This window comes from Homo sapiens, chromosome 17 (genome assembly GCF_000001405.40).
Source record: "Homo sapiens chromosome 17, GRCh38.p14 Primary Assembly".
In the NCBI taxonomy this organism is placed as follows: Eukaryota; Metazoa; Chordata; class Mammalia; order Primates; family Hominidae; genus Homo; species Homo sapiens.
The window spans coordinates 7,021,097-7,048,935 of record NC_000017.11 but is presented as its reverse complement, the minus strand read 5'-3'; the positions used below and the strand labels follow the sequence as shown (position 1 = coordinate 7,048,935).

The 27,839-nt window shown below is 53.1% G+C and overlaps 3 protein-coding genes and 1 long non-coding RNA gene across 6 annotated transcripts, besides 11 other annotated features; 1 reads left to right on the top strand and 3 right to left on the bottom strand.

Moving 5' to 3' along the window:
• Positions 1-1,355: 1,355 nt before the first annotated feature.
• LOC124903909 (uncharacterized) lies at positions 1,356-5,869 on the bottom strand. Its single transcript, XR_007065598.1, has 2 exons — positions 5,696-5,869; positions 1,356-2,754 (listed from the first exon to the last, which is right to left on the bottom strand). It is a non-coding gene; the product is annotated as an uncharacterized LOC124903909 (long non-coding RNA).
• Positions 1,836-1,885: an enhancer, noted in NCBI's record as "active region_11599". NCBI's record gives its function as "activates an Ori minimal core promoter by ATAC-STARR-seq in GM12878 lymphoblastoid cells {active_cell/tissue: GM12878}" and the evidence as "EXISTENCE:reporter gene assay evidence [ECO:0000049][PMID:35858748]".
• Positions 1,956-2,025: an enhancer, noted in NCBI's record as "active region_11598". NCBI's record gives its function as "activates an Ori minimal core promoter by ATAC-STARR-seq in GM12878 lymphoblastoid cells {active_cell/tissue: GM12878}" and the evidence as "EXISTENCE:reporter gene assay evidence [ECO:0000049][PMID:35858748]".
• Positions 2,086-2,155: an enhancer, noted in NCBI's record as "active region_11597". NCBI's record gives its function as "activates an Ori minimal core promoter by ATAC-STARR-seq in GM12878 lymphoblastoid cells {active_cell/tissue: GM12878}" and the evidence as "EXISTENCE:reporter gene assay evidence [ECO:0000049][PMID:35858748]".
• SLC16A11 (solute carrier family 16 member 11) lies at positions 4,844-7,315 on the top strand. Of its 3 annotated transcripts, NM_001370549.1 has the most exons (5): positions 4,844-5,161; positions 5,417-5,624; positions 5,863-6,006; positions 6,173-6,940; positions 7,028-7,315. In NM_001370549.1, the coding sequence occupies exons 2-5, from the start codon at positions 5,423-5,425 to the stop codon at positions 7,255-7,257; spliced, it is 1,344 nt and encodes a 447-aa protein (NP_001357478.1). In that variant the 5' UTR covers positions 4,844-5,161; positions 5,417-5,422; the 3' UTR covers positions 7,258-7,315. The 3 variants fall into 3 exon arrangements, with proteins under 3 accessions (NP_001357478.1, NP_001357482.1, NP_699188.2); NM_001370553.1 differs by having other exon boundaries at positions 6,173-7,315; NM_153357.3 differs by having other exon boundaries at positions 4,844-5,624.
• Positions 5,238-5,367: a silencer, noted in NCBI's record as "silent region_8085". NCBI's record gives its function as "represses an Ori minimal core promoter by ATAC-STARR-seq in GM12878 lymphoblastoid cells {active_cell/tissue: GM12878}" and the evidence as "EXISTENCE:reporter gene assay evidence [ECO:0000049][PMID:35858748]".
• Positions 5,438-5,497: a silencer, noted in NCBI's record as "silent region_8084". NCBI's record gives its function as "represses an Ori minimal core promoter by ATAC-STARR-seq in GM12878 lymphoblastoid cells {active_cell/tissue: GM12878}" and the evidence as "EXISTENCE:reporter gene assay evidence [ECO:0000049][PMID:35858748]".
• Positions 6,398-6,787: a silencer, noted in NCBI's record as "silent region_8083". NCBI's record gives its function as "represses an Ori minimal core promoter by ATAC-STARR-seq in GM12878 lymphoblastoid cells {active_cell/tissue: GM12878}" and the evidence as "EXISTENCE:reporter gene assay evidence [ECO:0000049][PMID:35858748]".
• Positions 6,898-6,967: a silencer, noted in NCBI's record as "silent region_8082". NCBI's record gives its function as "represses an Ori minimal core promoter by ATAC-STARR-seq in GM12878 lymphoblastoid cells {active_cell/tissue: GM12878}" and the evidence as "EXISTENCE:reporter gene assay evidence [ECO:0000049][PMID:35858748]".
• A 1,503-nt stretch (positions 7,316-8,818) lies between the features above and the next one.
• On the bottom strand, positions 8,819-12,921 carry SLC16A13 (solute carrier family 16 member 13). The gene is made up of 4 exons (NM_201566.3): positions 12,355-12,921; positions 12,066-12,209; positions 10,047-10,784; positions 8,819-9,173 (listed from the first exon to the last, which is right to left on the bottom strand). The coding sequence occupies exons 1-4, from the start codon at positions 12,551-12,553 to the stop codon at positions 8,974-8,976; spliced, it is 1,281 nt and encodes a 426-aa protein (NP_963860.1). The 5' UTR covers positions 12,554-12,921; the 3' UTR covers positions 8,819-8,973.
• Positions 12,354-12,593: an enhancer, noted in NCBI's record as "active region_11596". NCBI's record gives its function as "activates an Ori minimal core promoter by ATAC-STARR-seq in GM12878 lymphoblastoid cells {active_cell/tissue: GM12878}" and the evidence as "EXISTENCE:reporter gene assay evidence [ECO:0000049][PMID:35858748]".
• Positions 12,982-13,482: an enhancer, noted in NCBI's record as "H3K27ac hESC enhancer chr17:6938773-6939273 (GRCh37/hg19 assembly coordinates)". NCBI's record gives its function as "activates a minimal SCP1, AML or CMV promoter by ChIP-STARR-seq in naive H9 embryonic stem cells {active_cell/tissue: H9 hESC(naive)}" and the evidence as "EXISTENCE:reporter gene assay evidence [ECO:0000049][PMID:30033119]".
• Positions 13,324-13,373: an enhancer, noted in NCBI's record as "active region_11595". NCBI's record gives its function as "activates an Ori minimal core promoter by ATAC-STARR-seq in GM12878 lymphoblastoid cells {active_cell/tissue: GM12878}" and the evidence as "EXISTENCE:reporter gene assay evidence [ECO:0000049][PMID:35858748]".
• BCL6B (BCL6B transcription repressor) lies at positions 19,292-25,886 on the bottom strand. The gene is made up of 9 exons (NM_181844.4): positions 25,837-25,886; positions 25,086-25,276; positions 24,632-24,853; positions 24,173-24,535; positions 23,736-23,860; positions 22,315-22,479; positions 22,101-22,231; positions 21,849-21,986; positions 19,292-21,433 (listed from the first exon to the last, which is right to left on the bottom strand). Exons 2-9 carry the CDS (start codon positions 25,262-25,264, stop codon positions 21,317-21,319), a joined length of 1,440 nt encoding a protein of 479 aa, NP_862827.2. The 5' UTR covers positions 25,265-25,276; positions 25,837-25,886; the 3' UTR covers positions 19,292-21,316.
• Positions 26,793-26,932: a silencer, noted in NCBI's record as "silent region_8081". NCBI's record gives its function as "represses an Ori minimal core promoter by ATAC-STARR-seq in GM12878 lymphoblastoid cells {active_cell/tissue: GM12878}" and the evidence as "EXISTENCE:reporter gene assay evidence [ECO:0000049][PMID:35858748]".

Here is a 27,839-nt window from a genome sequence, read left to right as displayed (position 1 = left end):
TCACATTTGTATCCCGAACCCTAAGCATAGCAGCTGGCACGCGGTAGCTGTCTATAAATATTTTGTATGAAGGACTGAATGAATAAAACTTATTTTGACTTTTTTCTTCTCTATTATTTTTTATTTATTTTTATTTTTGAGATGGAGTTTTGCTCTTGTTGCCCAGGCTGGAGTGCAATGGCGCGATCTCGGCTCACGGCAACCTCTGCCTCCCAGGTTCAAGCAATTCTCCTGCCTCAGCCTCCCGAGTAGCTGGGATTACAGGCGCCTGCCACTACGCCTGGCTAATTTTGGATTTTTAGTAGAGACGGGGTTTCTTCATGTTGGTCAGGCTGGTCTTGAACTCCCGACCTCAGGTAATCCACCTGCCTTGGCGTCCCAAAGTGTTGGGATTACAGGTGTGAGCCACTGCGCCCGGCCTTCTCTTTTGTTTTTAGAGTTAAGGCAGGGAGACCAGCATTTTCACACAAACTTTGGAAAATGCTAAGGGAAAAGAAAGAAGAAAAGCAGAAATTTCCATTGAATCTCTTTATAGCCATTCACATTTTCTAACCCATGTGGCTCTACTGAGAACTTACCAGGGCAATGTGGTGCCTTGACCTTGAGGCATGGGCAGAGGTAGCCAGGTGGGAAAGGGCTGCCGTGCTGTTAGGTCCAGCCAGGTTCCTCAACTCACAGCAATAGCGGCAATGGAGGCTGAGCGCGGTGGCTCACACCTGTAATCCCAGCACTAAGGGAGGCTGAGGTAGGTGGATTACTTAAGGTCAGGAGATCAAAACCAGCCTGGCAAATATGGTGAAACCCCGTCTCTAATAAAAATACAAAAAAATTAGCTGAGTGTGGTGGCGGGCACCTGTAATCTCAGCTACCTGGGAGGCTGAGGCTGGAGAATTCACTTGAACCTGGGAGGCAGAGGTTGTGGTGAACCTAGATTGTACCACTGCACTCCAGCCTGGGCAATAGAGCAAGACTCTGTCTCAAAAAAAAAAGAAAAAAAAAAAAAAAGAAAGAAAATAGCGGCAATGAGCTCTAACACGTATACTTTGGCACTGTTCTAAGTTCCTTACTTATATGTGTATTCACAGTGACTCATTTAATTCTTATAACAACCCATCAGGTAGCTACTGTTATTACCCCCATTGTAGAGATGAGGAAACCGAGGCACAGAGAGGTTGAGTCACACTTGCTCATAATCATATAGTTACTAAGTGGTAGAGTGTGGGCGAAAGATTACGTAGATGCCGAGGCAAGAGACTGAAGGCACAAACTGTTTCAGTGTAATAAAGAAAATAGAATAAAAATAGTCATAATACAAATGAGATATAGAGATGATCATGGACAATTATCAATCATTATTATAGACATTATTAATCATTAGCTTTTAATATTACTTTTTGTTGCATTACTAATATAACCTACGAATAACCGGCAGGTATAGGGTCAGGTGATGAAGGGACATTGTGAGAAGTGACCTAGAAGGCAAGAGGTGAACCTTCTGTCACGCTCGCATAAGGGCCGCTTGAGGGCTCCTTGGTCAAGCGGTAACGCTAGTGCCTGGGAAGACACCCATCACTTAGCAGATCGCGAAAAGGAGTGTCCTTTCCTTGGAGGAGTCAGGGAACACTCTGCTCCAGCAGCTTCTTGTGGAAGGCTGGATATTATCCAGGCCTCCCCGCAGTCATCCGGAGGCCTAAACCCCTCCCTGTGGGGCTGTGCTTCAATGCTCACGCTCCTTGTCCACTTTCATGTTCCTCCCGTACTCCTGGTTCCTCTTTGAAGTTCGTAGTACAGAGCGGTAGATGAAATAGTGAAAGTCTAAAGTCTTTGATCTTTCTTATCAGTGCATAGAAGAAAACGCTGACGTATGCTGCCTTCTGTCTCTACTTCGGCTACCTAAAAGGGAAGGGCCCTCCCGTCCTGTGATCACGTGACTTGCTGCACCTTGTCAATCACTTAGAAGATTCACCCTCCTTACCCTGCCCCCTTGTCTTGTATGCAATAAATATCAGCGCAACCAGCCGTTCGGGGCCACTACCGGTCTCCGCGTCTTGATGGTAGTGGTTCCCAGGGCCCAGCGTCTTTTCTTCTATCTCTTTGGCTTGTGTCTTTATTTGTTACAATCTCTCATCTCCGCACACGGGGAAAACACCCGCCAAGCCCCGTAGGGCTAGACCCTACAGTAGAGCTGGCATTCAACCTCAAGAAATCTAGCTTGGGAGTCCATTCTCCTAATCTCTGTGCTATTTTACCTCCGTGAGCAAAAGATGACAAGTTTTGCTAAGAATATAGGGAGCCTGAGGTAGAAGAGGAATGTGCTCTTTCACAGCCCTAGTCCCAGGCTCTGGGATACCCTTCTGGCTTCGTAAGCATCCTGCGAAGGTGCGCAGCATCACTTAGCACAACTCCCAGATGCGGAGGGCCCGGTCTTCGCTCTGACTGTCCTGCATTTCTGCGTCACCATGGGGAGACAGTGATTCGTTTAGCTTGGAGCAGAGTCTTCAGCAGCCTTCTCAGGAAGCGGGATCCCTGCCCTCCCCGGTAGCTGAGGACCTGCTGGCTCCGCCTCCCTGGTGGCTTTCATAACAGCACTCCAGGCTGGGGAAACCGGTGGGGCCACTTTCCTAAGGTGTGTCTGTCAGGACCTTCATGAACAACAGGACGTTTCAAGCAGAGAGCATGACATATGCAAAAATTAAGGAGTGAGAAAAAGCTAGGCATGTCCACAGAGCAGAGAAGACAGTGGCTGATGGGAGGCTGGCAAAAGGGAGAGAGGGGAGATGGTTTGGAACGGTAACCTAGGTCTACCTTTGATTATTGTAAAAGACCTGTACAAATAGAGAAATGTAATTTTTCCCGTCTATAGGCAATGGAGAGCCATTGCCTATAGTCATGCTGTGTCTTTTATGTTTACAGTTTTGCTCCTTAAGAAGCTGTTTTTCTTGTCTTTACGTGCAGATTCTTTCCCAATAATTAGGAAACACTGCCATCATGTGGCTCAATGGATGCATGCTCCAAACTTAAGTTGCTGAATGTTCTATCATATTGTTTAATAATTAAACCAAAGAACACATCTCTGAATTCAAAGAGCTGAGGTAAAGAATGTCAACCTATCAAAAAAGGACATTTTCTATAAAGTTTTTCAAAAAATCAATACCTGGCTTCAATGACCTGATTTTTTACTTTGCTTTTAAAATTGTAACCTGGCCAGGCATGGTAGACTGTAATCCCAGCACTTTGGGAGTCCGAGGTGGAAGGATTGCTTAAGTCCAGGAGCTTGAGACCAGCCTGTGCAACATGCTGTGACCCCCTCTCTACAAAAAAAATGAACAAATTTAGCCAGGCATGGTGGTGTGGAGCCTGTAGTCCTCGCTACTCGGGAGGCTGAGGTGGAGTATTGCTTGAGCCTGGGAGGTGGAGGCTGCAGTGAGCCATAATGGCAGTACTACACTTCAGCCTGGACAAGACCCTGTCTCTATAAATAAATACACACACACATACATACATACATACATACATACATACATACATACATACATAATAAAAAATAAAATTCTAACCTAAGTGTTTAGAGATTCTGATCTCAAGAATCCTTTCTATTCCCAGTGACCCCTTATTTTAGACTCATAAGTTTTCTGTCCCTGCAATGGTTCCACCCTTTCCAGGGCAGTTTGCTTCAAGCTGTATCCAGGATCTTTCCCTTAACTGTGCCAGATTTTGTTTCAGTCCTGGGATTGTTCTCCTTGTAGGTCCACAGTTGGACAGACCTAAATTCAAATATCCATACCATTTTTTCCCTGAGAGCTTCAGTTACTGCATCTATAAAAGAGGCACGACATCGGCCAGGCGCGTTGGCTCACTCCTGTAATCCCAGCACTTTGGGAGGCCGAGGTGGGCGGATCATCTGAGGTCAGGAGTTCCAGACCAGCCTGGCCAACATGGCGAAACCCCATCTCTACTAAAAAATACAAAAATTAGCTGGGAGTGGTGGCAGGCGCCCGTAATCCCAGCTACTCAGGAGGCTGAGGCAGGAGAATGGCTTGAACTTAGGAGGCAGAGGTTGCAATGAGCCGAGATCTCGCCACTGTACTCCAGCCTGGGCTACAGAGTGAAACTCCATCTAAAAAAAAAAAAAAAGAAAAGCGACACCTTCTTCATAGGGTTATCATAAGATGAAGTGATAGCATGTGTAAACGGTGCCTGGTACACTGCAGGTCTTCACATTGAGGGAGTCGTGTTTCATCCCTCTGTCCTTGAGGACCTGTTATTTTATTTTATTTATTTTATTTTTGTTTATTTATTTATTTTTGAGACAGAGTCTTTCTCTGTCACCCAGGCTGGAGTGCAGTGGCATGATCTTGGCTCACTGCAACTTCTGCCTCCCGGGTTCAAGCGATTCCCCGCCTCAGCCTCCCAAGTAGCTGGGACTACAGGCGCCCGCCACCACACCCGGCTAATTTTTTTTGTATTTTTAGTAGATATGGTGTTTCGCCATGTTGGTCAGGCTGGCCTCGAACTCCTGACGTCAGGTGATTCACCCACATCGGCCTCCCAAAGTGCTGGGATTACAGGCTTGCACCGCGCCCGGCCTGGGGGTCTGTTATTCTAAGCACAGAGCTGGCACTTGGTGGAGGTCTGTGATCTGATTGATATCCGAGATTTACCTGGTCCTCGGCAACGTTCCTGAGAACAAAACTACTCATCCCCTCAGGTTTTGGGGACCATCCCTATTTCCACGCGTTGGCGGTGGACCCTGGGCTCGCTGGGGTTTGCAATCCACGTGTCTCCCCTGCGCGCAGCAGGCGGCAGGTGCATGCGTGTGAGTAGGGCAGGGCCCCTCTGCATTCATTTCTCGCCGCTCCCCCCTCCCCCGGGCCTGGGGGTTGTGTGTGTACATAATTCAATCCCCGTGGGACTGGCGTCTGGCCTCACGCGCGGCTTGCCGGATTGGCTGTTTCAGCTCGCCCCCGCCCTCCGTACACCCCGCGTCCCAGGTGGCTCAGGCCCCTGTGGTGATCTCTGTTTACCGAGAGAGCCCGTCCAAGTTGGGCTCCATCGCTGCCCTCGCTCCCCTTCGGGGCCCCCGCCCGCCTGGGAAGCAGAGAGAAAGCCGGGCCCAGCCCTTCCTCACCCTTCCCCTCCCCGCACCGCCCGGAGAGGTCGGGTAAGGGGGAAGGAGTGTGCGTGGGACGGGGAACCTCGGGCCTGGGGATCTGGCTGTCCCCGTCCCCGTACCTCGCGCGGACCCGGGAGTTCCAGCCCTAGGCCAGGCTCCGGCTCCCTCCGCCCCGCGCCATCGCGCTCGGAGTGACGGGCCCACCCCGGGCGAGCAGCCAGAGGCTGGATCTCAGGGATGCCAGCTCCCCAGCGGAAGCACAGGCGTGGAGGCTTCTCTCACAGATGTTTCCCCACCCCGCAGACGGCGATGACCCCCCAGCCCGCCGGACCCCCGGATGGGGGCTGGGGCTGGGTGGTGGCGGCCGCAGCCTTCGCGATAAACGGGCTGTCCTACGGGCTGCTGCGCTCGCTGGGCCTTGCCTTCCCTGACCTTGCCGAGCACTTTGACCGAAGCGCCCAGGACACTGCGTGGATCAGCGCCCTGGCCCTGGCCGTGCAGCAGGCAGCCAGTGAGGGGGGCCCTGAGGCGGGAGACAGGAACGGGGAGGAGGAGCCGTGAGTGGAGGGATGGGAGACCCACCTGATTACCCGACAACCTGAGAAAGGGCAACCGGCTCTAGAAAAGAGTGCATCTTGAGGTCAAGGAGAAGAACCATTAGTTCGAGGGAGGCAAACAGCCAATGAGAAGTGTTGGAGAGAGTTTGGGGGCCCGGGGGCGTGTCTTCCGTTGACTCCGCCCCCTTTCAGGCCCCGTGGGCAGCGCCCTGAGCACGCGCTGGGGGGCCCGCCCCGTGGTGATGGTTGGGGGCGTCCTCGCCTCGCTGGGCTTCGTCTTCTCGGCTTTCGCCAGCGATCTGCTGCATCTCTACCTCGGCCTGGGCCTCCTCGCTGGTGAGGGAAGTGGGATGCCCGGGTCATTCAGGGTGAAGGAGGTGACAGGAGCTTGTTGGGATCTGGGGTAGCGAACGAGGCGGGGGCCTGGTGCGGAGAGCCGGGCTGGGAATGCTGGGGCGGGCGTCCCCAGTGCCGGCCCCCATCCCCTCCTATTCATTCGCAGGCTTTGGTTGGGCCCTGGTGTTCGCCCCCGCCCTAGGCACCCTCTCGCGTTACTTCTCCCGCCGTCGAGTCTTGGCGGTGGGGCTGGCGCTCACCGGCAACGGGGCCTCCTCGCTGCTCCTGGCGCCCGCCTTGCAGCTTCTTCTCGATACTTTCGGCTGGCGGGGCGCTCTGCTCCTCCTCGGCGCGATCACCCTCCACCTCACCCCCTGTGGCGCCCTGCTGCTACCCCTGGTCCTTCCTGGAGACCCCCCAGCCCCACCGCGTAGTCCCCTAGCTGCCCTCGGCCTGAGTCTGTTCACACGCCGGGCCTTCTCAATCTTTGCTCTAGGCACAGCCCTGGTTGGGGGCGGGTACTTCGTTCCTTACGTGCACTTGGCTCCCCACGCTTTAGACCGGGGCCTGGGGGGATACGGAGCAGCGCTGGTGGTGGCCGTGGCTGCGATGGGGGATGCGGGCGCCCGGCTGGTCTGCGGGTGGCTGGCAGACCAAGGCTGGGTGCCCCTCCCGCGGCTGCTGGCCGTATTCGGGGCTCTGACTGGGCTGGGGCTGTGGGTGGTGGGGCTGGTGCCCGTGGTGGGCGGCGAAGAGAGCTGGGGGGGTCCCCTGCTGGCCGCGGCTGTGGCCTATGGGCTGAGCGCGGGGAGTTACGCCCCGCTGGTTTTCGGTGTACTCCCCGGGCTGGTGGGCGTCGGAGGTGTGGTGCAGGCCACAGGGCTGGTGATGATGCTGATGAGCCTCGGGGGGCTCCTGGGCCCTCCCCTGTCAGGTAAGGACCTGAGCTCACAGATCTGCCTACAACTATCCTCTGCCCCTGGGGTTCGAGGCTTCTAAATGCCCTTACCCATCTCCTCAGGCTTCCTAAGGGATGAGACAGGAGACTTCACCGCCTCTTTCCTCCTGTCTGGTTCTTTGATCCTCTCCGGCAGCTTCATCTACATAGGGTTGCCCAGGGCGCTGCCCTCCTGTGGTCCAGCCTCCCCTCCAGCCACGCCTCCCCCAGAGACGGGGGAGCTGCTTCCCGCTCCCCAGGCAGTCTTGCTGTCCCCAGGAGGCCCTGGCTCCACTCTGGACACCACTTGTTGATTATTTTCTTGTTTGAGCCCCTCCCCCAATAAAGAATTTTTATCGGGTTTTCCTGAAACCTCCAACTGTTCACCAATCTAGGACCCTGAAAATATTCTACATAAGACAGCCAGAAAGGCTGGTTCAAAGGAACAGGATCCCAGAAGGCCCTGGGTATGAAGAAGGGTGACTGTCCAGCCAATCCATTTCTCTTTGCCCAAGTCCTGGCCGTAACAGGGAATCTTTGCGAAGTTGTCTGGCAGCCAGTTTCAGTGTGTTGCTGGGGTTGGGGGCGGGTTGCTAGTGGGTGCTATCTGCCCCATCTTCATGTCCCTTACCCTAGTTCCCAGACCTCCCAGACTTAACTCTTCCCTGCATTTCAATCTCCTTCTATGGGCCTGAGGGAAATACAAGAATCCTAGGCCCAGACTTCAGCTCTATCAAAGCTATTCACACATCTATACCCTGTGTCCTCAGCATTCTCTCAATTTCTTTTCTTTCCTTCTTTTTTTTTTTTTTTTTTTTTTTGAGACAGAGTCTCCCTCTGTTGCCCAGGCTGGAGTGCAGTGGCGCGATCTTGGCTCACAGCAACCTCCGCCTCCTGGGTTCAAGCAGTTCTCCTGCCTCAGCCTTCCCAGTAGCTGCAACTACAGGCACACGCCAACACACCCGGCTAATTTTTGTATTTTTAGGAGAGACGGGGTTTCACCATCTTGGCCAGGCTGGTCTCAAACTCCCGACCTCGTGATCCACCCGCCTCGGCCTCCCAAAGTGTTGGGATTACAGACGTGAGCCACCATGCCCAGCCCTCAATTTCTTTTCTAAGCCACAGGGATAATGGGGAAGAGGGAGGTATGTGGTGGTAGCCTGGAGAGCAGATTCCAGGGTTAAAATGCCTTGGGTCATCGGAGCTCCTGGACACTCTCCTCCACTTCCAGGCATGACTCCATTCGGCCAACCCAAGCATATGGGCCCCAGCTCATTTTGAGGTTGTGATTATTATCCAATTTTCTTATTTGATTTTATCTCAAAGGGACAGTTTTGTTTCCCAAACATGTGCCTTCAGAGAAGAAACTCAGGAGGCAACACTAGAGATGTTATATAAAGCATGATAAGTCTCTTGGCCTTTGATTTTCACAGTTGATTCACAGCTCAGTGAAGCAGGAACTCCCGGATCCTTCAAAACTCCTGGGTCCTTTAGAAAAGGTTAGGGGAGGCTGGGTGTGGTGGCTCACGCCTGTAATCCCAGCACTTTGGAAGGCCGAGGGGGGGGGGGGGTGGATCACAAGGTCAGGAGTTCGAGACCATCCTGGCCAACATGGTGAAACCCTGTCTCTACCAAAAATACAAAAAAAAAAAAAAAAAAATAGCCGGGTGTGGTGGCTCCCGCCTGTAATCCCAGCTACTTGGGAGGCTGAGGCAGGAGAATCGCTTGAACCCGGGAAGCGGAGGTTGCAGTGAGCCGAGATCACATCACTGCACTCCAGCCTGGGCAACAGAGCAAGACTCCGTCTCGGGAAAAAGAAAAAAGAAGAAAAGGTTAGGAGAGTAACGGAGAAATAAGAGTCCTCAACAAAATACAAAGGGTTGGCACACACATTGCAGGAGCCCCAGGCCTGCTCTAGGGGGAGGCAGATCAAGAATCTTAAGGCACTGTGGTTCTGTGGAGACCAAGACGTGGCAAGAGAAGACCTGGAGCTGTCAAGCTTTGGCTTTCTGGGCCTGACTCTGTGGAGTTCAGTCCTCTTCCAGCCCCTCCTTGGGTAGGGGAACTTTAGTATCTAGTGCTTCTGTTACAAGGTCCTGGGGCCCGGAGGTAGTAGTTGAGAAGCAGAAGAAGTGGGGCAGGGTGAGGAGAATGCCACTCCCTGAAAGAAGGAAGGCCCCAGCCACCACAAAAGAAGCCGTGTAGTTGCCTGTCACATCCCGGAGGTAGCCTAGGTCCAAGAGAGAAAAAGAATACACATGAGTGATCTATTTGCTGGGGCTGAGGGCTCAGATACATTTTTGGGTGGAGGGAAGACTTATCATCTCAGAGGAGTTGGAACTCCCATGGAATAGTTGGATAAACTTAAGAACTCTGGTTTCCCAAAAGGGCCTCAAAAGTTAATTTCAACCACCTCCCCGCCTTCAGAAAGGACCTCCAAACCAGCCTGCAGGGATTTGGAGATCCAGATTGAGTCAGGCATACTTGTGCCTTTCTTTCTGGCAACTGTGGCCTTTCTTTTTTTTTTTTTTTTGAGACGGAGTCTCGCTCTGTCGCCCAGGCTGAAGTGCAGTGGCGCGATCTCAGCTCACTGCAAGCTCCGCCTCCCGGGTTCATGCCATTCTCCTGCCTCAGCCTCCTGAGTAGCTGGGACTACAGGCGCCCACCAACTGTGGCCTTTCTAAAGCTTCAGTTAATGGGTAAGAGGAGATAAAGGTCTGAAAGTTCTGGCACCCTGAGCCAGCAGAACTTTGACCAGGTGCCTCAGATACCTGGTTTGGGGCCCAGTAGGCCAAAGGAAAGGGTGCACACTGGAATGCTACGTCTGTGTCTGGCCAGGTTCTGCCAGGTCCTCTGCAAACCCAAGCCGTAGGCACCCTGCCAAGGGTTCCACTTAGCTTCTTTTTGTCTTTCCACTCAGACTTTCCCAGCCCCAAGTTCTTTGCCCCATGGACCCATTTCAGGGATGCTATGGTTGGCCACGCAGGCTGTGTACTGTACTACACCAGAGGGCAATATTCACATACACTGTAATGAGAATAGTACCCTCCCCTAGTTGTGCAACATGGCAGCCCTCACCCCCTGGGAACCCCATTCCACTTACCTGAGAGAGGAGGCCCCAGCAGCCCCCCGATGCTCTCTATCATCTGCAACAGTCCCAGGCCACAGTAAATCCTTCTAGTCCCTATTAGTTCAGGCAGCACGGAGAAGGCCAGTGGGGCCAGAGCCCCTGATGTGAAGCCGTAGGCCACAGCCAGAGCCACCAGGGCTGTGGGAGCCTGAGCTACAGGGAACAGGGCTAGTGACACCCCAGTCAAGGTGGTCCAGAGCATCAGGAGTCGTGTCACAGGCCCTGGGACTGCATCTCCCAGCCATCCGGAGACCACACGCCCCACGAGGTCAGAAATAGCAACAACTGAGAGTAGGAAGGCAGCAGGTAGTGGGTCCCAATCCAGGTCCTGGAGATGGGCCACCAGGTGGAGGTAGGGAATGAAGTAGCCAGTGTTGATCAGGGTGAGGGCAACAGTGTAACGGAGGAAGGGGCCATGATGGAGGAGAGAGGTGAGTTGGGCCCTGGGACCACCCACAGCAGGGTCCTCAGCCAGGGAGGGTGGGCGGAGGAGAGCACCACAGGCCACTAGGTGGAGGGAGAGGGCAGACACCAGCAGCAGGGACCCCCTCCAGGCGTAGTGGCTGAGCAGCCACTGGAAAAAGGGGGCAAATGTGAAGGAGGAGAGGCCCACGCCTGTCAGTGCCAGCCCGGTGGCCAGGGATCGTCGGCGAGAGAAATAACAGGACAGGCAGGCCAGGGTCGGAGCGAAGGTCAAAGCCCAGCCAGAGCCTGTCAAAAAGGAAGAAGTGGTGTTGAGAACTCTTAGGGAGCTCAAGGCACACAGTAATCCCCGCATTGCCCAGCAGCAGAATGTAGCACTTGCTTCGGAGTCCCACAGACCTGGGATACAATCTTGGCTTGGATACTTCATAGCTGTGTAACCTTGTGTGTTTTACTTAACACCCCCAGCCTCAACCTTCTCAACTGCAAAATGTAATAATACACTTTTTGGGATTGTGGAAGATTAGAGACAAAGTTTGTAAGGTAACTAGCACAGAACTTTGGAGTTAGACCTGGGCTCTACCATTTCTAGCTGTGTGACCTTCATTTGCCAAGTTGTATAAGCTTTAAAGCTTTTCCCCAGCTGTAAATCCAATAATGATATCGATTTCACAGTCACAGTACCTAGCACCTTTTTTTTTCTTTTTTTTTTTTGAGACGGAGTCTCGCTCTGTCGCCCAGGCTGGAGTGCAGTGGTGCAATCTCGGCTCACTGCAAGCTCTGCTTCCCGGGTTCACACCATTCTCCTGCCTCAGCCTCCCGAGTAGCTGGGACTACAGTCACCTGCCACCACGCCCAGCTAATTTTTTGTGTTTTTAGTAGAGACGTGATTTCACCGTGTTAGCCAGGATGGTCTTGATCTCCTGACCTCGTGATCCGCCCGCCTCGGCCTCCCAAAGTGCTGGGATTACAGGCGTGAGCCACCGTGCCTGGCCCCTAGCACCATTTTATAGTAATTCTTCCTTTTACACTCCAGTCCCATTAGCCCTGGGCTTCTGGGCTTGTATACTTGGTTTCATCTTTTTTTTTTTTTTTTTTGAGACAGAATCTTGCTCTGTCGCCCAGGCTGGAGTGCAGTGGTGCGATCTTGGCTCACTGCAACCTCCGCCTCCCGGGTTCAAGCGATTCTCCTGCCTCAGCCTCCCGAGTAACTGGGATTAGCGCCACCAGGCCCGGCTAATTTTTGTATTTTTGTAGAGACGGGGTTTCACCATGTTGGCCAGGCTGGTCTCAAACTCCTGACCTCGTGATCCACCCGCCTCGGCTTCCCAAAGTGCTGGGATTACAGGCGTGAGCCACCGTGCCCGGCCAGGTTTCATCATCCTTGAATTTCCTAATTCCTCACCATGTTTGTCGCTTTAGTCATTCCTATTAAGAATTCCCTTCTGGGTACAGGTGCTAGCTAAACTTTCCCTCAGCTTCTCCCCGAACCCTTTGGAAGGAGCAGGAAGGAGGTGAACATCCAACGATCTAAGCATTTGACTCTCCTGCCCTTGTGCAGGCTCTCACCTGACAGCAACCCAATACTCAGGTATAGGTGGGTCAAGGAAGTAGCAAAAGAGGCGAGCAGCATCCCCAGCGCAGCCAAGATGCCTCCAGTCATCACCACGGGCCTGGGCCCGAACTTCGTGCTCAGGGCACTGCCTACCGGGCCTGAGGAAGTGGAAGGGGCGCTGCGAGAAGATCTCAGGGGTCTCCCCCCCAGCATCTCCCGCCCCTCGCCCTTCCACTTCCCAGTCGCCGCATTCCCTCTCCCTTCCGAGGGTCGCAGTCCGCCAGATCCAGGCGCCGCACTCACTCCCAAACTGCTGCACCGCGATTCCTATGGAGGCGATCCAGGAGACGCGCGCTGCCTGCTCCTCAAACGCCGCCACAAACTCCACGAAGAAGACCCCAAAGGAGCGGAGCACCCCAAACACAAGCGCCGACTGGAAGAACGCTGAGAGCACCACCACCCATCCCCAGCCCCCGTCGGGGGGCTCTGTCCTGCGCGCCATCTAAGCGGTAACAGGGCTGCTGCCACCCAGAGCCTCTGCAGGAGCCGGGTTCTGGACGCCGCACCTCTGCACACCCACCCCCGCTGCCGGGTGGCTCGGGGCCGAGAGGGGTTGGAGAGGCAGGTAGAGAGGAAGGGCCCGACGAGGCGGCGAGAGGCCCCTGCACCTTTTCCCAAGGCGGGGCGATATAGGACTGAAGACCTGGCCCGCGCTGGCCGGGCCAGAGTCTCCCGGGGGCGTGGTTCCGCGAGCTCGGAGCTGAGCTAGTTCAAGCCGGGGCCGGATCGGTCCCGGTTCGGTGTTCGGCTGGGAGCCAGAGGGTGGAACTGAGTTTGGGCCCCACCCCTGGAGCGCGCCAGTTTCCGTGTAGATGATCTATTTTATCACTGGGGTGTCCGGGCCGGGCCACCCTGGAGCTCGCCAATGAGGACGCGGGGCTCCCGGGCAGGGGCGGAACGAGAAGGGCAGGGCGGGATTTAGGCATTGTTGGGGACCAGCAGTGAATGGGCGCATGCGTAAGGAGGGGCGTTAGGAGGCTGACTAGGTAGGGCCCCACGTGACGCGGGGACTGCCAGGAAGCTTCCGTCTCCTCTTCACCTAGCGGGCCAAGTCATCCCCGTTTCAGCACCCAGAGCCACACGGAAGGGTTAGTGGTGGGTAAACTGGGTCTGGAGAGGAGAGGACTCTCTTGCTTTAATGAGGGGTCCAGGAATTGCAAGGCCCTGTTGGGGGTAGGGGAGGGGTTAGGAGATGAGACTCAAACGAAGTGTTTGGCGCAGCGCCTGAAGCCACTAACACGCAGCCCTAGGCACGCAGACCTAGAAGCCTGGATCCCTGAGAAGTTCAACGGCTAAGGGAAGAGAGAAGGGGAATGAGTTGGACTCCTGGCGTTCATTTCTGTAGTGGGAACTCGTTCCTGTCACTTCTGTTCCCACTAACAGGAAACCTACAGGTCACAGAGACCAAAAATAACTGAGGAGAGGAAGGGCGGCTGTAAGCTCACACAGGGCCCCACCAACACCACCTACCTCTTCCTCACTGGGGCTGGAACCTTTTCCTCTGCCCTCTAGTAACAACCACTTCCTAACCACCTTTTTTGATCTGATGGTGGGGTAGACTAAAGAGACAAACTATGACCCTGGCCACTGGAGCAGTCAGCCCCCTCTTACCCAAGTAGTCCTCAGGCCCCTAGCAAACACTCCCCAGTCCTTCCCAGTCTCCATAACACCAATGGCTTGGATTTCCTGTTCCTTCATTATAAGCCATACTTCCCAGGACCCTGACCTTGAAACCGTGGACTCAATGTTCACTCCCAGATTACTGGGGAAAGCAGCAAACAAGAAGTGGAGGCAGGGAGGGAGGTGTGTAGTCTTAAAAGACATATTGAGCCTTAAATAATTTTATATGTGGGAAATAAAAGTAATCATCAATAATACACATATATACTTTCTAAGAGTCAAAATGTCGGCTGGTGGGGAATATGCCAAAGATACAGAAATTGCTGTGGCTGTATTACATAGTGATTAAGAACTCGGGTCTTTAGAATCAGATCACAGTTCCAGTCTTTTATTTATTTATTTATTTATTTATTTATTTATTTATTTATTTATTTTGAGATGGAGTCTTGCTCTGTGGCCCAGGCTGGAGTGCAGTGGCATGATCTTGGCTCACTGCAACCTCCACCTCCCGGGTTCAAGTGATTCTCCTGCCTCAGTCTCCTGAGTTTCTGGGATTACAGGCTCCCACCACAACGCCCAGTTAATTTTGGTATTTTTAGTAGAGACGAGGTCTCACCATGTTGGCCACGCTGGTCTCGAACTCCTGACCTCAAGTGATCCACCAGCCTTGGCCTCCCAAAGTTCTGGGATTACAGGCGTGAGCCACCGTGCCTGGCCCAGTTCCAATCTTGACTTTATTACTTAACTCGATCAAGATGCTGAATCTCTCAGTTGGTTTCCCCATCTGTAAACTGGGGATAATAGTACCTACTATTAAGCGTTGCCCAAGGGGTTCAGTTAGAAAATCCATGCACTAAAAATGCTTAGTTTATGTGCTGACATGCAGCAGGAGCCAAGTAATATTAGCTTAGCTGGTCTTATTGGTGTTATTTTCAACAGGGGATAAGCTGCTGTAGTGGGAAGTGAAGGAAGGTTTTAGTTTAGTGTTTTTTTTTTTGTTTTTTGTTTTTTGTTTTGAGATGGAGTTTTGCTCTTGTCTCCCAGGCTGGAGTGCAATGGCATGATCTCGGCTCACTGCGACCTCCACCTCCTGGGTTCAAGTGATTCTCCTGCCTCAGTCTCCCGAATAGGTGGGACTACAGGTGTTTGCCACTATGCCTGGCTAAATTTTTTGTATTTTTAGTAGAGACAGGGTTTCACCATTTTGGTCAGGCTGGTCTCGAACTCCTGACCTCAGGTGATCTGCCTGCCTGGGCCTCCCAAAGTGCTGGGATTATAGGCGTGAGCCACCATGCCCTGCCTAGTTTTTGTTTTTTGATTAAAAAAAAAAAAAATCTAATCCAGGTCATGGGTTTAAAAAGATTGAGAAACGACCACTGCGATGGTTTGAATGTTACCTCCAAAAACTCATATTGAAACTTAATCCCCAACTTGGCGGTACTGAGAGGTGGAAACTTTAAAAGGTGATTGGATGGGATTAATGGATTAATTAATCCCCATGAATTAGCCCACCATAATGGATTAATAGGTTAACAGATTAACCCCATCATAAAGGACTAAAAGGTTAATAGATTAATGGGTTATCATGGGAGGGGAATTGTCGGCTTTTTCAGACAGATCCAAGCTAGAACATTAGCATGCTTAGCCCCCTTTGCCATGTGACACCCTGTGCCACAGAGAGTCCATATCAGCAAGAAAACCCTCACTAGAGGGTGAGGCCCCTGGACCTTGGATTTCTCAGCCTCCATACTATAAGAAATAAATTCATTTTCTTTATAAATTACCCAGTTTCAGATAATCTGTTGTAAGCAACAGAAAATGAACTGAATGAGACAGAAAACTGGTACCAAGAAGTGGGGTGTTGCTGATAATGAATAACGGAAAATGATGAAGTGGCTTTGGAAGTGGGTGATGGGCAGAGGCTGGAAGCATTTGGAGGAGTAGGCTAGAAAAAGCCTAGATTCTGGAGAGGTCTTAGAAGACAAGAAGACTAAGAAAAGTTTGGAATTCTTTAGAGATTGGTTAAGTGTTTATGACTAGAATGTTGATAGAAATATGGAAGCAGCTGGGCGGGGTGGCTCACGCCTGTAATCCCAGCACTTTGGAAAGCTGAGGTGGGCGGATCATGAGGTCAGGAGATTGAGACCATCCTGGCCAACATGGTGAAACCTGTCTCTACTAAAAATACAAAAATTAGCTGGGCATGGTAGCACTCGCCTGTAATCCCAGCTACTCGGGAGGGTGAGGCAGGAGAATCGCTTGAACCAGGGAGTCGGAGGTTGCAGTGAGCCGAGATCGTGCCACTGCACTCCAGCCTGGGCGAAAGAGCGAGACTCCATCTCAAAAAAAAAAAAAAAAAAAAGAAATATGGAAGCAAAAGCCATTCTGATGAGCTTTCAGATGGAACTGAGGAGCAAGGTATTGAAAACTGGAGTAAAGGCCATCCTTGTTACGAACTGGCAAAGAGCTTGGCTAAACTGTATCCATGCCCAAGGGCTTTGTGGAAGGCTGAAGTTGAGAGTGATGAACTAGGGTATCTGGCAGGCAGAAGACATTTCTAAGCAGCAAAATGCTGAGGCTGCTGTGTGGTTGCTTCTAACTGCTTAAGATGATCTCACAGAGAAAAGAAACAGAGTGGAAACATTTGGAAAATTCTCAGCCTGGCCATGTGGTAGAGAATGAAAGAGCATTTTCAGGAGATGAATCCAAGGGCGTGGCCAAGCCACTTCTTGCTAAAAAGATTAACATGGCTAAAAAGGAGCCAGGTGCTCTTCCTCAAGAAAATGGAAGAAAGTCCCTGAACTCATTTCAGAGGTCTTTGAGGCTGCCCCTCCCATCACAGGCCCAGAGGCCTTGGAGGACAGAGGGTTTCAGGGTACAGGCCCTGGGTGCTCTCCATGGGCTCACCGCCCAGGGCAACCTCAGGACTCTGCACCCCACACCCCAGTGTAGCACTCTGTGGCCACCCCAGCCTGGTGGTGGCTTAAGTGGCCCCAGGTGTTCCTTGTGTGTGTGTGTGTGTGTGTGTGTGTGTGTGTGTGTGTGTTGCTTGTATTGAAGCTCCAGAAGGTGCAAATCATAGACCTTTGCTGCATCCTTGTGGTGCTAATTCTGCAGTCTTGCAGAAAGTAAGAGCTGTGAAGGCTTGGCAGTCTCCACATGGATTTCAAAGGATGTTGTTGAAAGCCTAGGGGCCCAGGCAGGGACTTGTCACAGGGGCAGAGCCACTGCAGAGAGCCCCCACCAGAGCAATACCCAGCAGCAATGTGATGTTGAAGTTGCCTCAGAGAGTGCCTGCCAGGACAATGCCTATTGGAATTGTGGAAGCAAGGCCACTGCAGAGCCCCCACTGGGGTAGTCCTTGGTGGAGCCATAGGAACAAGGCCAATGCACACAGTCCCCAGTAGGGCAATGCCTAGTACAGCCGTGGAAGCAGGACCACCACCAGGCCCCCAGAACTTTGGAATCACAGGCAGCAGGCAGCGCCCCCCTCCCCCCAGGAAACTTCAGGCACCAGACTCCAGCCCACCCACCAAAGCCACAGGGCTGGGTTGCCTGAAGCCTTGGGGATCCAACTCCCACCCTGTGTCCAGGAGGTGCCACATGTAGTCAAAAAAGATTATTCTCTACCTTTAAGTCGCAATGTTGGCCGGGTGCGGTGGCTTACGCTTGTAATCCCAGCACTTTGGGAGGTCGAGGCGGGCAGATCACGAGGTCAGGAGTTCAAGACGAGCCTGGCCAACACAGTGAAACCCCATCTCTACTAAAAATACAAAAATTAGCTGGGTGTGTTGGTGGGCACCTGTAATCCCAGATGCTTGGGAGGCTGAGGCAGGAGAATCGCTTGAACCTGGGAGGCGGAGGTTGCAGTGAGCGAGATCGCGCCACTGCACTCCAGCCTGAGTGACAGAGCTAGATTCCTTTCAAAAAAAAAAAAAAAAAGGTGTCATGTTGGCCCTGCTGGGTTTCACTGGGTTTCAGACTTTCCTGGGGCCTGTTTCACCCGTTTCTTTTTGCCTATTTCTCCCTTTTGGAATGGGAATGTGTACACTATGCTCGTTCCCACCATTATATCTTGGAAGTAGATAACTTGCTCCATAACTTGGAAGTAGATAACTAGCTCACAGATGAGACTTTGATGCTGCAATGAGTGAAGACTTTGGGATTATGGGAGTGGAATGAATGTATTTGTATGTGAGAAGCACATGAGTTTTGGGGGCCCAGGGACAGAATGCTATGGTTTGCATGTCTCCTCTAAAAATTCATATGGAAACTTTTAGTTCTCAACATGACGGTATTGAGAGCTGGGGCTTTTAAGAGATGATTGGGGGCTGGGCATGGTGGCTCATACCTGTAATCCCAGCACTTTGGGAGGCCAAAGTGGGCGGATCACGAGGTCAAGAGATTGAGACCATCCTGGCTAACACGGTGAAACCCCGTGTCTCTACTAAAAATACAAAATTAGCCAGGTGTGGTGGCGGGTGCCTGTAGTCCCAGCTACTTGGGAGGCTGAGGTAGGAGAATGGTGTGAACCCGGGAGGCGGAGCTTGCAGTGAGCTGAGATTGCACCACTGCGCTCCAGCCTGGGAGACAGAGCGAGATTCTGTCTCAGAAAAAAAAAAAGATGATTGGATTGGATCCCGAGGGTTCTGCCATTCATGGATTATGGGTTATCACGGGAGGGGAACTGGTGGCTTTATAAGAAGAGGAAGAGAGACCTGAACTGGCAATGTTTGCACACTGGCAATGTTTCCTGTGCTGCAGAGAGCCCCCACCAACCAGACGACCACCACCAGATGTGGCCACTTGACCTTGGGCAAAATTTTCAGTGTCCGTAACTGTAAGAAATAATTTCCTTTTCTTTATAAGTTGCCCAGATTCAGTATTCTATAATAAGCAACAGAAGACAGATTAAGACAACTACAAACTTTCAATGTTGGAGGTAGCTGCAGAGATCATGGTAACTGACTTTTTCACAGATGAGGAATTTAAGGCCCAGAGGAAGGTAATATCAGAATTAGTGACCTCCGCACCCAGCACACACACAGGACAGGGGAAAGGGTGGGAGAGATGCATGCACTGGACCCTGGATAGATTCAAGATACCCTTGCTGGGGGAGGGTGGGCTGGCCCGTTAGTTCTAACTCAGTCTTCTCAGTGCCACCTCCAGCCCCTGTGGTCTTTACGGGACCCAACTCTTATCCATCTTCCTTGGTGATGGAGGCATGTCGCCAGCATTAAGATCTCCAGCACAGATGCACGCCCCGGCCTCTTGATATTATTAGTGGCTTCCTGGTTTCTCCCTGCAGCCTCCACACCTCAGGCAGGAAGTGACTTCAGAGCAGCAGGATGCAGGTGGCTCCGGAGAAACTTCATGAAGTCACTGGTTCCTACACAATGAGCAGGAAGGCAAGGGCAGGGAAGGGGACAACGAGGACCATTTAAAATGTCTGGTGGGAAGGGACAGTGGAATGGTACAGAATCCAAGATGTTATCCAGGAGGAAGAGCTCTCTTCCTCGCTCCCCGAGTCCCCCAAGGCAAGAACCCAGGACACAGCAGGCAGCACAGAGAGGCTTCTTTATTCCAAGGATCTGATGTTGCAAGATCTAACATTTCTACCCCCAGGCATTCTCCACCTGCCCATCCAATCTGCTAAATAGAAATCATGATTCCTTCTTATAGACTCCTCCGCCTTCCCTTCTTCCTTCTTTAATTCTGCAGTGGGGCCATGGGGAGAAAGAGGGAAGAGGGAGAAGAGTAGCTTTCTCACTAGTCCCCAGGCGACAGCCACTAGAACTGACTTATTGTTGAAGTTCTACCCCACAAATTCAAAAGTGCTTCTTACTTTCTACCCTCGTCCCATAATCAGATAAGCCCCAGGGCAACAAGGGGCAGAACTATCAATCAAGGCTTCAGCGCTTCTTCTAACATTTCAGAGACTCCACCCAGCCAAGAGGCAACCCTGTTCCTCACTTTCTACCTACCTGGCCTACACCAGAAACTGCACCCCTCAACCAACCTCTTAATCCTACTTGAAACTTGGTCAACTAGAACAGGCCTTTGGCCTATGGGCTAGTCAATCTTTTACATCTGTAATGCCAACAATAATCCCAACCAAACTACAGCAAACCCAGAATGGAACTCAGCCCCTTTTCTTTTCCTATGGAAGGTTCTAATGCATTCACTGGTTCCAGACAGGAATGCAGGGATGGGAAGACCAGGTCACAGACCCAGCTTTTAAAAGGTAAGGTTACCAAGCACCATCCCTTCTAGAGGAAAAGAAGGTTCTGGCATCTGGACACTTGCCAGAAGATGTCCAAAACCCACTAAAGGAAGAAGGGGCTCAACTCAATAGAGAGAACCCCAGGTAACATTCAAACCCATATGCCTCTGTAGTAAAGGATGGGTTAACACTGTTTACCATCTAATCAAGCTAAAGAGTTTCATGATTCTTCCCTAGGCCATAACATTCATAGAGACTGGGCAGAGTCAGAAAAGGTCACATCATCTCTGATAAGGAATGTCTGATCTCTCCCCCATGGAGCGATCAACTCAGTGCTAAGAACAGGCCCCCGTGGGAGGATGATGGACTCCACTTGAGCCCTGGTGGGTCTCTACCACTATAGATGGATACAGCAGAGCCAAACCCAAGTGACCAGATTAATGGGACATTTTAGATTCTGGACCATCTTGCAGAAAAACCTGCCAGCCTCCACTTGGAGTGATACGGAATCCAGATACAGAATCCCCCACACCCACAGCCTCCAGGAGGCATTTATTATTACTTCCATTTTGGGCTCAACATAATGGTTCCTATCACCCTTGAAGAACAGAGAAATGTCTGTATCCATTTCTAGACTGCTAGAGAACCTACAACATCCAGAATACCAGAGAGGGTTCCTGACCCAATTCCACAATCCCGCATGTTCCCAGAGCTGCCCTAGAACAAATAAAGGTTCCAGACCTAGAATTACAGGGGCAGAACACAGAGAACCCCTTTTTCCATTTTAAACAAACTAACAAGCAAACAAACAGGAGAAAGAACAATTCTAAAGATAAAAGTTATGACAGAAATAATATAAAATACCCAAGCCAAACGAGAGAGCCAAGGGCTAGTAATCTCTGCCAGCAGAGCTGTGATCTCACCTTCTGTGTTTCTGGTCACTTTTAATCACACTTGTGGAAGAGGGGAGTGGGAAATGCAATCGAATGAAGGCCCCGGTGCCACCCAAAGGCCTCAATAAATTATATTTACAGATAAACTGAATGCAATGGGGGCCACAGGTGGAGGGCTATTCCCTTAGGGAGACCAGGACTCCAATCTCTCCCCTTTCCCAGCCCCTAGCTAGCTCTCTCCTCAGAAACAATCTGGCTTGTGGGGAAGAGGTTTTGACCAGCAAAACAGAGGCAGATCTAGCCAGGATCTGCCACCCCTGCTCTCCCCAGTGAGAAATTAAGAGGGTGGCAATTTCTGATACCAAAGTGGCCTGGCACACCCCTATGCCCAAGCCTGATAGGGAAGCAAGGCCTGGGCCTGCAGCTTTCCCACCCGCAGGAAGCAAGTGGGGCCTGGGCCTGCGCTCAGCTAGGGCCCCCCGAGAATGTGGTAGTGCACTTTGGTGTTGGTAGCAGCTCCGTGTTTCTGGCGCAGATGCAGCCGCAGTTGACTCTTGTGCCGGAAATGCAGGCCACAGGGGTCGCACTGTGGGAGGACAGCCAAGTCAGGCCCTGCCCCATCCACAATCACCTTTTAGGTGTTGAGCCGGGCGGCCGTCCAGCTCTCCCAGGTGGGAACTATCCAGCGGAAGATCAGCTCTTTGACTCTCACATCCTCCCAAATCCTCAGGGGTGGCTGAGGGGATAGGCCCCGCCTTATTTAGCAAAGGTTTTCCCACTTCTCAGCTCCTCTCTGAGAAAACAGTGCTCAGCCCAGGAGCATCACTTCTATACCTGCCCATCCTGACTCCCAGCCTCCACCCCTTATTTGCTTGGACTCTTCCGGCCACCGCTCATTTCTAAGAGATCTAGGGACAGCCAGGCCCGCACCTCTCAGAGCCCACCCCTAGGCAAAGGAGAGGTAATTCTAAGGCAGTGGGCAGGCCAGGTTGGGTACCCACGTGGTAAGGCTTCTCTCCGGTGTGGATGCGAACGTGGCTCTTGAGGGTCTGCAGGTGGCGGAAGCGGGTTCCGCAGGTAGGGCAAGGGTAGGGCTTCTCCCCGGTGTGGATCAGCACGTGCGCCCGCAGATGTGCCACCTGGGAGGGAGGAGACTTCAAGTCCTGCCTCTGGGAGGAACAGAACCCTCCCTATTGGCCCACCCCACCTCTTGCAGGTTTGCCTTGGAAGCCACTTGGAGGCTGGCTCCGTACCTGTACAAAGCGCGAGCCGCACGTCTCACACTTATACGGCTTCTCTCCCGAATGGATGCGGCTGTGCGTTTTCAGGTTTGCTGGCCGGTTAAAACGGGCTCCGCAGATTGAGCAGTGGTAAGGCTTTTCCCCTGGAGGCAGAGAACATGGGAGATCAGGGACTTTGCCCTAGGACAGCTGTGGGCTTGAAGGCCAGGGCCCTCTCTTCCCCTACCTGTGTGCACTGTACGATGACTGGCAAGGTTGCCCTTGTAGCGGAACGAAGACCGGCACAGCTGACACTTATAGGGTTTGTCTTCGTCCCCAGGAACCAAGGAGTCCAGCCCCGATGAGCACCCTGCCACAGCCTCACAGTTCTGGCAGCTGAAAAATTCACTTCCTGGGAAGGGGAATGGGTGACGGCAACCATAGTTATTAATGAGGGCTATCTAGGTACTACTGAATCCTCAAACCACACAGTAGCAGGCTTTCTGTTTCCCAATTTATTGTTAAGACTTCTGGGGCTGGTTTGACTTGCTCAAGGCCAAGTAAGAAGATAGTAAGATGAGCCAGATCTGACTGCACATCTGTCTGACTCGAGTACTCAGCTAATCTCCTCTTCAATAGCAGTGGTGGGGGCCAGGTACGGTGGCTCACGACTGTAATCCCAGCACTTTGGGAGGCCGAGGCGGTCGGATCACAAGGTCAAGAGATGGAGACCATCCTGGCCAACATGGTGAAACCTCGTCTCTACTAAAAATACAAAAAGTAGCTGGGTGTGGTGGCACGTGCCTGTAGTCCCAGCTACTCGGGAAGCTGAGGCAGGAGAATCGCTTGAACCTGGGATGTGGAGGTTGTAGTGAACCGAGATTGCGGCACTGCACTTCAGCCTGGCCACAGAGTGAGACTCCGTCTCAAAAAAATAAATAAATAAAATAAAAGCAGTGGTGGTAGGTGGAGGCCCCTGCTAGTGGGAGGAGTTTTGTTTCTCCTCCTGTTTTTTTTTTTTTTTTTTTTTTTGAGACAGAGTCTTGCTGTGTTGCCTATGCTGGAGTGCAGTGGTGTGATCTCGGCTCACTGCAATCTCCACCTCCCGGGTTCAGACGATCCTTCCACTTTAGCTTCCTGAGTAGCTGGGACTACAGGTGTGCACCACCGTGCCCGGCTAATTTTCATTTTTATTTTTTGTAGAGACCACATCTGACTATGTTGCCCAGGCTGGCCTTGAGCTCTTGGATTCAAGTGATCCTCCTGCACTGGCCTCCCAAAGTGCTGGCATTACAGGCATGAGCCACCATGCTTGGCTAAAATCTCCTCCTCACTTGCACCACTCTGAATGACAGCCTGCCAGAGAGGCCCTGACAAGCTTTGGGCTGACCATTCAGCTCTGAAAGGGGATAGGCCAGAAATTCTCAAACTTTGCTGCTCATTGGAAGCACTGGGAGAGCTTTAGAAAAATACTGATGACTCGTCCCATGTCCAGATATTTTAATCTATGGAGTGTGACCTGGGCAGTGGGAGTTTAAAAGCTTCCTAGGTGATTCTAATTTGTAATAAAGTTTAGGAACCATTGGAATAGGCCTTTCTGGGAGAGTTTTTGGCACAAACTTGCCTGGAGCAGTCACGGGAGAAAAGCCAAGAAAGAGGGGCTCTTACCCGGTAGTGGACGAGCCCGTTCAGAGGGTGATCCAGAGGTGTCTTGAGCCTGGGATGTGAGGAGGTAGGGGGTACTGGCTGGAGCCCCACATTTGAACTGCACAGTGGCAGCAGTTGGAGAGAGCCTAGGCAGATGGCAAGGAAAGGGTTAAAAGAGATTGTACGGTTGAGGGGTGGGGGTTCTCTCCTGGGAAATTTGGAGCCAAAGGCCTGCCCTCTCAGGGTGAGCCAATATTGTTGACCAATGAGCCACATCCATTGTACTGCCCAAGTGCCACCCTGCTGAATAAACCTGGTCTCTGGCCAGCTCCTTAAGGTGAGCTAGTGTCTCTGAAACCCACCACCTATCTCCCTTCCTCCTGACCATCAAGGCCCAATGACTCTGTCTTCTAGCTGAGGCCAGCTCTGACAAATTCTTGAGGTTCTAGACTCTGTACCTGCTCTGGGGACCAGGAATGGGTCCTTCTTCACTGCTGCTGCTGCTGCTGCTGCTGCTGCTGGAGGCCTCGTCTCCACTGGGGAGCCTGGCTTGGGGGCAAGGTTGACCAGAACTTCTCTCCCCGACCAGGCTCCCTGCTTGGGAGGCCTGAGAGTTTAGCACGATGTACTTGTACTTTTTCCAGTTGCAGGCCTTGGGGTCAGGGCTGGCTGGACTGGGGGGGCCTTGACTGCAGCTTCGAGATTCAGTAGGTGGGTCTGGGTGTCCTTCGGAGCGCCTGGGACTACCTGGTGGAGGGGCCGTTGGGGGTGTTGGGGGTTCTGCTTCCAGGGGGCGCAGGGAGATGCCCAGAGGTTCATAGCTGGGGAAAGTGTGATGAACGTTAGTGCCATTTCCTAAACTCTGCCTTTGCCCTTAACACCTCACCCACAGAGAACGCCGAGCCAGGGTCCCTCACCTGGCCTGGATGAAGCGGTGGCATGCCTGGACCACGTGCTCCATCTGCAAATAGGTGGCGGCCGCTAGGACTGCTGGTGCAGTGGCTGGAGAGAGGCGCAGGCGCGAAGTGTACATGAAGTCCAATAGAGGGGCGAAGCCTCTCGCTTCGGGACCCCCGGGCAGAGAGAGCACGTCCACCCCGACTCCCGCACGGCCCCGGAAAATTGAATAGAAGAAGCCACTAGAGAGAGAGCAGATAAGTCCTTTGGGGGCTGGGGAACCAAGGGAGACATGCGCAGCTTCAGGAAGCCCCGCCCCCTGAAAAAGTCCCGCCTCCTCACTATCACCCCGCCCCCAATTCTGGGACGCTCCGCCTCCTGCTTCTGAAAGACTTGGCTTCGGATTCCCTCTCAACGGCCCTGTGGTCCCACCCCTTTCCCATTTGGCCCCGCCCCAGGCCCCACCCCTCGAACCTGCAGGCGATGAGAACTGCCTTGTGTGCTCTGAGGGGTTGCCCGCCAACCAGCAGCGTGACGTCAGTGAGGATCCCGCGCAGGCGCAGCTCGTTGAGGTTGCCCAGCACGTCGGAGGAGTGGCGAGTGAACTCGCGGACGTAGCCCAGCGCTCCCTCCGGGGCGGCGGGGGAACCCATAGCGACACAGGCCTGTAGAGGCCGTGGAAAGTGCTCTGGATCCAGGCAGTCCTAAGACGCCTTCCCTCCTCTGTTTGCCTTTTCCTTCCGAGGTGCAACTAGAGCCAGGACTTCCAGCCCCTAGCCCCGGCACACGCAGCCTCCCTCCTAATTCTTCTTGTTCATTCTGCCCTCTACGACACCCTCGCTCCCTTGCCTCTTCCAGATCCCACAGCGCTTGGAGCCAGTTGAAGGTTCCACACCGCGGCGTCGTTGGCGAGCGTGGGGAATCCCGCGCCCATCGCCCTGGGTTCGACCCCCAGTGCCCCTCCAGCACCGCCACTCCCCTCTGCGCGCCTGTGTCTCAGGTGTCCAACCCTGCCTCGAGATCTCACGGCCTGCCGTCCACACACCTCCAAATCCCAGCCGAGGCTCCCTTCCCCGAACTACGGAATTCTGCGACTCCTATCTAGTCCCCAATCCCTAGTTTAGCCCAATTTCTGGGACTCAGGCTCGCTGATGGCAAGCTCCACACAAGCTCCTACCCTCTTGGGGGACCCAGGAGTCTGGCTCCCTCAGTCTCTTGTTCTTACCCCCGTCCTGCAGGGGCCGCGGCTTCTCTTCTTAAGGGGGGCGGGGTCTCTCTCCCCTCTTGGCCTCGGCTCCTTTATCTGGCCGGGATGTCGGGGGCGGGGGTGGAGGTGGGGTGAACGCCTGGGTCTGTATCCTTCCTTCCTCCCTCGCTCTCCAGATGGCGAGTCCAGGGCGGGGTCTCCGTCTCGAGGGCGGGACCTCAGAAACAAGGGGTGGTCGTAACGTAGGGGGTCTTGGGTCACTGCAAGTGGACACGAGGACGGGGATATTGGAATTGGGGAGGAGGTTAGGGATATCGAGGTTGGCAATACGGGAGTCTGAGTCGTCGGAAGGCCTGGGCCAGTGAAAATTGGTGTGTTGGCTTTTGGGAGGGTTTGCCAGGAGCCAACCTTTGCTGCAGGACAAAGTGCATACGGCAACCCCCTCTCCCTCTCTTGTACTGTGTTAAGGGAGAAAAGGGGGAGCCCAACGAGACAGCAGGTTTGGGCAGACGACAGTGGGCTCCCGTAGGGTCTCAGACGGGGAGGGTGTGGTGTGAATGACAGGCTACTCTACCCGGGCCTACAAAAAGGGGGGCTCTGGCCGGGCGGGGTACGGAGAGGGCGGATATGATTTCTAGTTGGTTTCCTTCCATTGTCCTGCGACCGGACGGCTCCGCCAGCTGCTTCCCCTCGAGGAGGTGGGGAAAGCCCCGAGGTGGGGGTGGAGGGGCGAGAGACGCTCGGGAGACCTAGGCGTCCGGCCTCTCTCGCTCCCGACTCTCTTCTGGGTCCTTGTAGGGATCCAGAGAGATGGACTCCCGCCCAAAGCCCGCTTGCTTTCCCCCAATCCCAGCTCACGAGGGCCTCGGGCACCCGCCCGTCGGCTACGCTTGGAGGCTGGCGGGACGCCGGGGTCCAGCGCGGCAAGTAGGCAAGGCTCGGCAATGTGCGGCTCCTTCCACGAGGGGGCGGCCGAGCACTGGCCTCGCCTCGCCCCTCGTCTCCACCCGGCCTGGGGTGCGCTCAGACCCGGGCGCAGGATCCATTTGGTCTGGGCGGCTGAAACCTTTAGCCTCCTCCCCTTTGCGCGGGTTTATTTTGCACCTCTGTCTCCTAGGAGGGGACTAGGGCTGGGCGGAGGGAGCTAGAGTTAGGAGACCGAGGGGACTTTCCCCTCAGGCTGGGGTTCCTACCCGAGGTGAGAAATCGCGGGCTTTAGGAGCCAGGGGAATGGGTGGGACAAGAAGCGGGACCTGAGCCTGGGAACTCCGGGTTTTCTTTTCGAATTAAGCTAGACACTGCTACCCAGATGTCTTTGGAGGTGACTTTTAATTGAACATTAAAATTGGGTGGGGTAAACGAGAAGGGAAAACAAGGAGGAGGGAGAGAGGGCAGGAGGGGGCTTAACCACCCTAATTTGAAGTCCCTGATCTGAGAGATGGGCATGGATCACACCCTCATATTTTGTTTCGGGAGACATTGCGGGCAGGCAAGGCAAAGCTCATTTGGAGAAGGGGTGCTAGAGCTGAATCCAGCTGCAAGGCAGAAGCTCCCCGGATTTGGGCTGGGGAGAGTGTACAGTTGGCCAGGAATGGCCGACCATGGTCCACGGGGCTGGATATCAGGCCCGGGGCCCTCCCCTTCAGACCGGAGTGTGTCTTTATTTGAATGCATGAAAGAACAGCTGAGAAACCGGGAACTGGGAAATTCAGGACGATGAGGTGGCTTTGACATGTGAGGGTTATTTAGGTCTCTGCCCAGCTTGGAGATGAGAATTAGACTAGGGGCTCTCCCTTTGGCATCAGGATGGAGTATTATTTGATCAGTTGTGGGGTGTCTGTTTATTATGGGGTGTTGATTTGATTGTGAGCACCGGTGGCTGCATTCAGCCTTTGAGGCCTATATGGTAAGTTTCAGGTATGGGGCTGACTTGGAAGTTACATTAGTTCTGGGGGTTCTGACACCCACAATTTGGAGATTGTGCTCACCTGTGTCATCTTGGACTATCAGCAGAACCAAAG